Source organism: Homo sapiens, chromosome 8 (assembly GCF_000001405.40).
Source record: "Homo sapiens chromosome 8, GRCh38.p14 Primary Assembly".
NCBI classification, from domain to species: Eukaryota; Metazoa; Chordata; class Mammalia; order Primates; family Hominidae; genus Homo; species Homo sapiens.
Window position 1 is genome coordinate 100469955 of NC_000008.11, and position 9240 is coordinate 100479194.

Here is a 9240-nt window from a genome sequence, read left to right on the forward strand (position 1 = left end):
TGATAACTTAGCCCAGGCAATAGTCATTGCTTCTAGGATGTTATTCTCTAGCCTTATACTCTAGCATGCCCCATCCACACAAATGCAACTTTTTAAAACCAATATTTCACAGCTGGGTGTGGCGGCTCACACCTGTAATCCTAGCTGCTTGGGAGGCTGAGGCGGGAGGATCACTGGAGCCCAGGAGTTTGAGACTAGCCTGGAAAACACAGTGAGACCATGTCTCAAAAACTAAAATCAAATCAAGTATATCTAGAAAATTCTCTGTGTGCTCACTCAACAGAATACAAAGGCTCAATTTCCCATCTTAGCTTTTAGCTCAAATGTTCTATGTCTTCTAATCTTGCTCTAAGCACATTGAATCCACTTACAGAATTTCTTTGATGCCAGAGTTGCTCTGAATTGCCAACTGACCTCAGTGGTAAAGGTTTGACAGCAACATTATTTGCTTTAAGTTGTCAGCAGGAAATACTTTATCACCACTTACTCCAATATTTCAAATTTATCTTCAATTTGCTTAAGAAAGTTTGCCTAGGTTGGGCATGGTGGCTTATTCCCATGATCCCAGCACTTTGGGAGACTGAGGCAGGAGGATTGCTTGAGCCTAGGAGTTTGAGACCAGCCTGAGCAACATAGTGAGACCCTGTCTCTACAAAAAAATAAAAATTAGCTGCGGTGGGTGGCACGAACCTGTGGTCTCAGCTACTCGGGAGGTGGAGGCAGGAGGATCACTTGAGCCTAGGAGGTTGAGGTTGCAGTGAGCTGTGATTGCACCACTGCACTCCAGCCTGGGTAACAGAGCAAAACCCTGCCTCAAACAGAAAAGAAAAAAAAGAAAGTTTGCCTGAGTAGTTTAAACGTTTGTGGGAAATGGAGTGGTGTGGGGGATGAAATGTGTTTCTTCCCCTATTTTCCAATTCCTTCACCTCTTATCCATCAAAGTAAGGATATGATATGATTTAGCTCTGTGTCCCCACCCAAATCTCATCTTGTAACTCCCATAATTCCCACATGTTGTAGGAGGGGCTAGGTGGAAGATGATTGAATTATGGGGATGGGTCTTTCCCATACTGTTCTCATGATAGTGAATGGATCTCACAAGATCTGATGGTTTTAAAAATGGGAGTTTCTTTGCACAAGCTCTCTTTTTGCCTGCTGCCATCCACGTAAGATGTGACTTGCTCCTCTTTGCCCTTCCGCCATGATTGTGAGGCTTCCCCAGCCACACAGAACTGTGAGTCTTTCCTTTGTAAATTGCCCAGTCTTGGCTATGTCTTTATTAGCAGTGTGAAAACGGACTAATGCAGGATGTAATTTGCAGACTATTTTAAAGATAACAGCATCTCGATCATAGAGCTCTTTTAAAATTAACTGTGAATATAAATTATTTTTCAGATGCTACAAACATATTAGTATGTTTGTGGAGTAGCTTGTTGTCATCGTCTAAGGCCCAGGTGTAAGCGGGGTTTTGTTGAGATTAAGTCAGCTGATGAAGGCTCTTATTTTTACTTCCATCTTTTTTCACAAGAATGACACTTATGGACAGTTTCCTTCTTAGGACGCTATGCTGAGAGCATCTCCCAGGAGAGGAGTAAATGTTGTCCCTAGCTGATTCTGTATGGAAGCTCTTGACCTGGTCTGCTTGTGTTCCATTCTGCTACCCAAAGTCAAACCTAAAAATACAAATCTGAAATTATAGCCAGCACCAGTGTATAAAAAAACCAAGAACCAATAAAACCATTTCCACTTCTTTGCCAGAAGAGAAAGTCATCCCCAAATAGAGGATATGGATGCTTAGGTTTCAAAGAAAGGCCAAGAAAGGGTAACCCAGCACAGCTGAGGCAGGTTTTTTTTTGTTTGTTTTGTTTGTGGTGGGGGGGGTAAGGGGGGTGTGGGGTGTGGAGTACTGACTTCTCACACTCCTAAGAGGTTGCTAAGCAGGGCATCTTATTAAATGCCCGGCAATGGAAATCAGCCAAGTGTTCCCAGGGAGGGGGCCCTCTCCCAGTCCTGGGCTCCCCTAGGAAAACAGATCTTAACAAAGCTCTTGATTATTTTGCCATGTCCATGATTTAGCACTTTTTCCTGGCGTTGGAAAACAGCTGAGAACATTGAGCAAGTCCTTTTTGCTCATAGATAATTCCTTTAGTTTGGTTCTTACCACTTGTTTGAAACAGGGACTGGCTCCAGCCCGTTCCTTATACGGATGGCGCCTCTAATTTGGTTTCAGTTTGATTTATGCCAGGATCTAACTCACTATGGAGTTCAACTAAGAATTTTACAAACACTTTTTGATGCTAATGATATGTGTCTCACAATCTAGACATCTGGACTTAATGTCAAACAAATATTACCCACCACAAAAACCAGTTGGATCTGTTTGTGGTTACTTCAGCCCTGAGCAGTTCCTTCTTTAAAGGCTCTGACCTGATAAAGTAGCTTTTGGCCCCATCAGCCTGCTGGCTAGGTGAGATAAAGCGATCCCTGAACCATTTGCTCCTTTTTCTCAGACCTACACTCTGAAGCTGGATGGCCCAGCCCCTCCCCAGCACAAAAACATTGTGTGATCCTGTCTGTTGAGATGCTTTTCTCTGGGCCAGATTCTCCACATAAGCAATGCAGGATTAGGATATGATGCTTGTTTGCTTGGAGATCCAGGTGGTATTTGGAAGTGGCTTGCACAATCACATCCCTATGGGAACTTACCTCCCATGTGCTTTTGGGAAAGTTTCCCACTCAACTCCATCCACCCTGAATATAAAATAGAGGTCACAGTGGTTGATTCACCAGCATTTTCTAACCAAAGTTTCTTTACGCTGTTTTTATATTACCCACAATCCTATTACGGCAATCACACTCACTATGCATACAAAGAATCATTAAACCTTTTTCATGCAAGATCTCGTTTCCTTCTCATAACTGCCCTGTGAGCTGGGTATCACTGTTACTTAAGTGGGAATGGGTAGGGAAACCGAGGAAGATAGGGTGGGTTAGCTTCCTCAAGAGCACACAGTTTATAAATAACAGAGCTACCACTAACCCAGGTCTGTCTGATCCCCAAATTCATGTTCTTAATCATGACCCTAGGCTGCCTGTCAAGTCAGGGTTAATGATAGAGAAAAGAAACCCAAGTTTTATAGAACTGATACGAGTTATGTGACATGAGAAGCTCAAATGAATAGTTCTTATTCATTCCGAGATCCCTCTCTTGGGGTCATCTTTCTCCTTTTCCCAGGATGCCGGAGGGCATGGGACTCCAGTTGGAGGAGGTAACAGAGTGAAGGTGTAGCTAAAAGATGCAGAGCAGTGGGAAGGGAGGAGGAAAGTAGAGGGTGGAAGGGTGCTTCTTCGGGAAATTCAGGGAGTGAAGGCCTCTGAACTGCATAAAAGGGGTCAAAGATCATCAGCTGAGGGATCATCTTGGAGTGAAGCTATTGGTGCTGCCAATACGACCAGTGCTTTTACTGTGAGTTCCAGAATGTCCAGCCACCAGCACCCAGACACCTGCGGGGGTTGTGACAGCAGAGTGGCCTGGTGGGCTTCATGGAGGGGGTTTTTCAGTCCTATATTGCCCTGGCCTTAGCAGTCTCTGAGAGGTTTATGCTTTTTGAGTGTAGATTAGACTCCCTAGCTCTGTTTCCACCCATACTCCTCCAACAGAAACTCACAGAAACCTCTCCCACCCTTTCTGCCTTGACCACACAGCAAAGGACTCCCCAGAAACAGCCCGAGCTTGTTGCCAGTGAGGCTTAAGAGCAGAGCTCCTGCTGCAGCAGGGTCTCAGATTACCAAGACTTCTTTCCCTTGTATCCTCATTCTGCAGGACATTTTTAGTGGCTTATAAGTTTTAGTATAAATAATTAAAACTAGGTTAGCCTTGTCAGAAAAAAACAGATGCAGCATGAGCTATCATTCAGCCTTGGAGGGCATGTGTGTTTTGTGTTTCTTGCTGATTCACAAACGTTGGTGATGCACAGGCCCCCATTCCAAGGGTCACATTCCTGTATCTGTTGCACATGACTGTGAGTTTCATTCCCTTCAACCAAGCAGCTACCTGGACCTGGGGCAAGCTGGTACCGCCAGTGTGCCCAGGGGCAGCTGTGAGCTGTAAACCCATGGGTCTGGGTTAATGTTTGCTGATGTTTATATCTTTCCTGATAGGTGGATGGAATTTGCCTAATGATTGTGTTTCCTTGAAAAGTTAATCAATGTCTAAGTGAGCCAGTCACAGACCACCTCAGAAGTACAATGACGTTGGACTCCCAGCACTTTTCCCCCAAGGCCATGTCCCTGGGGTCAGAGTGACAGGAAAGTTGCAGTGAGCAATAGATGTGACCAGAGGGACCTGGGGGCTCTCTTAGTGGTTGTCTCTTGCACACCTTATGCAAAGCTCTGGAGTCCAGATGTAAGGGGCACACCCACAAGGCAAAATGTGGCCTGGTCCACCAGCACTCCCAGCCATAGCCCTGCTTTCTTCGGGCCCCCTTATCACTTTAAATAGGGGACCTCTGTGCCCACGTCATCAGGCCTTTTCATCCTGGGGTTGTCAGCCAGAAGGGACCCCTTCCTTCCTGCAAACATATCTCAAGCATGTATGCTGTGCCGGATCTTTATGATACTGAGAGGAAGAAAGTGGATGAGATCCCAGCCCTCAAGCTGCTAATAGTTGCGAGAAGGGAGGCGAAAAGGCAGTTACAATCCAGGGCACTGGGAGCTTCATTAGGGAGCCAGGGGCTGTGGAGAGCAAAGGTGCAGCCCCGAACACAACCTTGGGGATTGGGGAAGCCACTCAGAGGAGAATGATGAAGTCTGAGCAGAACCTGGAAGGCAGATAGGGAGTTACCAGCTTGGTGAATGTGGTAATCTCCAAAACATCTGCATCCTAATCACTGGAACCTATCAATGTCACCGTATGGGGCACACAGAACATTGCAGATCTGACTGAATTAAGGGTTTTGAGGTAAGAGGTTGTCCTGGATTATCTGGGCAGCCCTGAATGTATCACCGGGGTCCTTAGAAGAGGGAGGTAGAAGAAGATTTGACCACAGAGGAAGAGAAGGCCTTGTGACCTCACTGACAGAGATTGGAGGGGTGTGCTTTGAAGCAGGAAGGGCCCACAAGTCTTGGAACACAGGTGGTCCCTAGAAACTGATGAAGGCAAGAAAACAGGCTTCACCCTCAGAGCCTCCAGAAGGAGCCAGCCTGGCCAGCACCTTGACTTTGGCTCTGTGAAACTGGTTTCAGGCTTCTGGCTTCCAGAACTCTGACCTACTAAATTGTTATTTGTTTTTGTTTTTGTTTTTGAGATGGAGTCTCACTCTGTTGCCTAGGCTGGAGTGCACTGGCATGATCTCAGCTCATTGCAACCTCCGCCTCCCCAGTTCAAGTGTTTCTCCTACCTCAGCTTCCCAAGTAGCTGGGATTAAAGGTGCCTGCCACCACGCCCCACTAATTTTTGTATTTTTAGTAAAGATGAGGTTTCACCATGTTTGGCCAGGCTGGTTTCGAACTCTGACCTCAAGTGATCCACCAGCCTCGGCCTCCCAAAGTGCTGGGATTACAGGTGTGAGGCACCACACCTGGCCTGTTTTGTTTTAAGCCACAAAGTCTGTGGAAATTTGTAACAGCAGCAACAGGAAACTGATCCAGTGGGGTGGGGCCAGGGGGATGGGCGTGACCCAGGAGGAGGGAAAAACAGGGCCACAGGCTGGGCATGACACATCTTGTTACCCATGCAATGTTGGGGTCAGAGAGTGTAGAGAGTGGTGTGGGGAGAGTGCAGGCTGAAGAGTTACCTAAGGTCAAAATCCTGACCTATGAGCCAAGCCATCGATTTGGGATTTCTACTGAGGACACTGGAAGTCACTAAGAGCATCTGAATGGTGAGTGAGGAAGATGCCACCACTGTGGGGCCCCAGTTGAGGAGTGGGGAAGTGGGATCACGCTAGTCAGAGAGGCCACAGGGGAGGCTGTCGCCACCATTCAACCCCAGATCTGTGGCTCTAGAGCTCCACTAGAGTTCCAGGCTCTCCTCTGAAGTTCCGAGGACCTAGGGCAACTCCATTTCATTCCATAAACTCGAGTCATTCTTGACTTGTATAGGGTTATCCCAGTTTGTTCTTTATGATCCTTGCCCACAAATGCTGCTGGTTAAGCCTGAATTTTTGAGTTAGAAAATTAGGCTGTTCAGGTGGATTTTTCCAGCTGTAGCTTGTGTGGCCAGAAAGAGGAACCTAAATAACTTGTGAGAGCAGCTGGGCCTGGGACTGGCAGGCTGAAACTCGGGGTCTATGAAGTGAGTTCCCATGTCTTTACTGGCCCCACTCAGATACGAATCTATGGCTGCTCAGGCTGTCTGGTTTTTGGATCCTTTATTCAGGTGCCAAGGGCCCAGCCAGCATGCAAGTTTTCTTGTACTCTTCTAGATGCCTGTAAACAGAACTTGCCACAAGGGCTACCAACCTAAATACTTACTGGGGCCAGTCAAAACACACTAGAGAGTGGCTGGACCTGAGAATCACTGGAGAGTTCTCCTCCTGCCCAAAAGCATTTAAATCCAAATGTTCAAAAAATATATTTGAGGAACCCATTCAGCTTTCAGCCAATTTTGTAATCCTGGTGAGACTACACCCTTGTCAAAATCATCCTTCTCTCACAGTCTCATCAGGAGGCAGGTATTTTAAAAAGGAAACCCCACCACTGTAGGTTTTTTTTTTAAAAAAAAAAAAGTTGATTTGTGGTATAGGGATGGTTGGAGAAGGAGCATCTGGTTGGGGCAGGTGTTAGCATTTTCCTGATGTACAGGCCAGAGCATTCTGATATCAGCTCTCACTCCTCCAGCTGCACCAGCCAAGGTTTAGGCCATGTTTAAAGGACACTTTAATAATAAGCTAAACCACTTAGAAATCATTGGTTCAATACATGAACTTAAGGCTGGGATATGTGACCAAGGAGAAAAGCATTTGAGAAAACAGGCTTTTTCTCTGAGGTAATGGTATTGTGGTAGCCCTTCAATCATTAATAAAAGACAGGGAAAGCTTCATAACAGGATGTCCTTATTTAACAAAATGTCTGGGGGTGCTCTCAGCCTAGTGATTGGAACTCATGATAAAATTTTAGGCAAGCTCACTTACAGGAGTAAGGGAAATAGGTGGTGAGGGAAGGTGATGACAATGAAGTAAATTAGCAAAGAACGAGAGGCTTGAAGACCACAATTTATGGCTTCTGTTTATAGTTTTGGCATCTTCAGTCTGGCAAAAAGTCAGTAGATAAATTAAAACGTAATTTTAAAAGCAAAATCCGTTAAAACTGTAAAGAAAGCAGGAAGGAAGAGCAGGGGGAAAAGAAAAGATTAGACAAACTAAGAACAAATAATAAATAACTATATCAACAATTACATTAAATGTAAATTGACTAAAACACTACAAAGTCAAGGATTTTCAGATTGGAAAAAAAATCAAGACCCAATTTTATGCTATCTACAAGCACAGAACAAATATAAAGTCAGAAATGGGTTGTAAATATAAGGGTGGAAAAAGAGATATTACCTAAATTATTTTATAAAATGGAATAGGAGAGAATACTTCCCAATGCACTTTATGAGATCATCCAAACCCAAAGAAGACTGATACCTGATACCTAAACCAAAGAAGGCTATTATAATAAAAGTAAATTACACACCAATATTTTTAGTGAATATGGATGTATAAAATTCTTAACTAACTACTCGCAAGTTGAATCTCAAAAGTAAAAAGACAACTCCATCAAACATGGGCAAAAGATGTGAACAGATACTTCACAAAGGAAGACATACTACTGGCCAATAAGCATGTGACAAAGTTCTCAATGCCATTAATCATCAGAGAAATATAAATTAAAATCATAATAAGATACCACTACATACCTACCTGAGAGGCTAAGATTAAGAAAACTGAAAAACTAAATGTTGGAAGGATGTCATGCAACCAGGACTCTCACACACATCTTTAGTAGGAGTGTAAAATGGCACAACCATTTTTGAAAAAATGTCTGTCAGTTTCTTATAAAACTAAACATATGCCTACCCTACAACTCAGCAATTCTACTTCTAAGTATTTATGTAAGAGACATAAAAACCTGTAACTTCAAAAATCTTGTACAAGTTCACGGCAGCTTCATTTATAATAACAAAAAAGGGGAGACAACCCAAATGTCCATCAACAAGAGAATCAGAGCACAAACTACGATATAGTCATATAAATGAAATAAAATCAATAAGCAAAAGGAATTAACTACCTTTTTTTGAGGCAGGGTCTGGCTCATTCACTCAGGCTGGAATGCAGTGGTCCAATCACAGCTCACAGCAGCCTCAACATCCCAGGCTCAAGTGATCCTCCTACCTCAGCCTCCTGAGTAGCTGCAACTATAGGCATGCACCACCATGCCCAGCTAGTTTATATATATATGTGTGTATATATATTTGTGTATGTGTGTATATATATATATTTGTGTATATGTGTGTGTGTGTATGTGTGTGTGTGTGTGTGTGTGTGTGTGTGTGTATATATATATATATATATATATATATATATATATGTAGTAGCAACAAGTTTTTGGTTTTTGCCATGTTGCCCAGGCCGGTCTTGAACTCCTGGGCTCAAGCAATCAGCCTACCTTGGCCTCCCAAAGTGCTGAGATTATAGGCATAAGCCACTGTGCCTGGCCTGAAATTAACTACTTTTTAAAAACTTTTCTTAAGAAGAATAAAACATTAAAATACTATTTTAAGTGACAAAAGAGTAGATACTGAACAATGTCATTTATATGAAATTCTAGAACAGGCAAACCTAATCATCCAAGGCAGAAAAAAAGTCAGAACAATGTTTGTTCTGGAAGTGGGAATAGAGATTTAGGTATTTGGGAATGCTTTAAGGTAATGGAAATATTCTGTATCAGATGAGGGTTTGGATTACACAGATATGTGAATTTGTCAAAGTACATTGAATAGTAGACTTATGATTTGTTCATTTGAGGTTTTGTAATTTTTTTTTTTTTTTTGGAGATGGAGTCTCGCTCTGTTGCCCAGGCTGGAGTGCAGTGGTGCAGTCTTGGCTCACTACAAGCTCCGCCTCACGGGTTCAAGCCATTCTCCTGCCTCAGCCTCCCGAGTAGCTGGGACTACAGGTGCCCACCACCATGCCCGGCTAGTTTTTTGTATTTTTAGTAGAGATGGGGTTTCACCGTGTTAGCCAGGATGGTCAT

The 9240-nt window shown here is 43.7% G+C and overlaps 1 annotated feature.

The window, feature by feature from the left end:
* Positions 5804-5883: an enhancer, noted in NCBI's record as "active region_27703". NCBI's record gives its function as "activates an Ori minimal core promoter by ATAC-STARR-seq in GM12878 lymphoblastoid cells {active_cell/tissue: GM12878}" and the evidence as "EXISTENCE:reporter gene assay evidence [ECO:0000049][PMID:35858748]".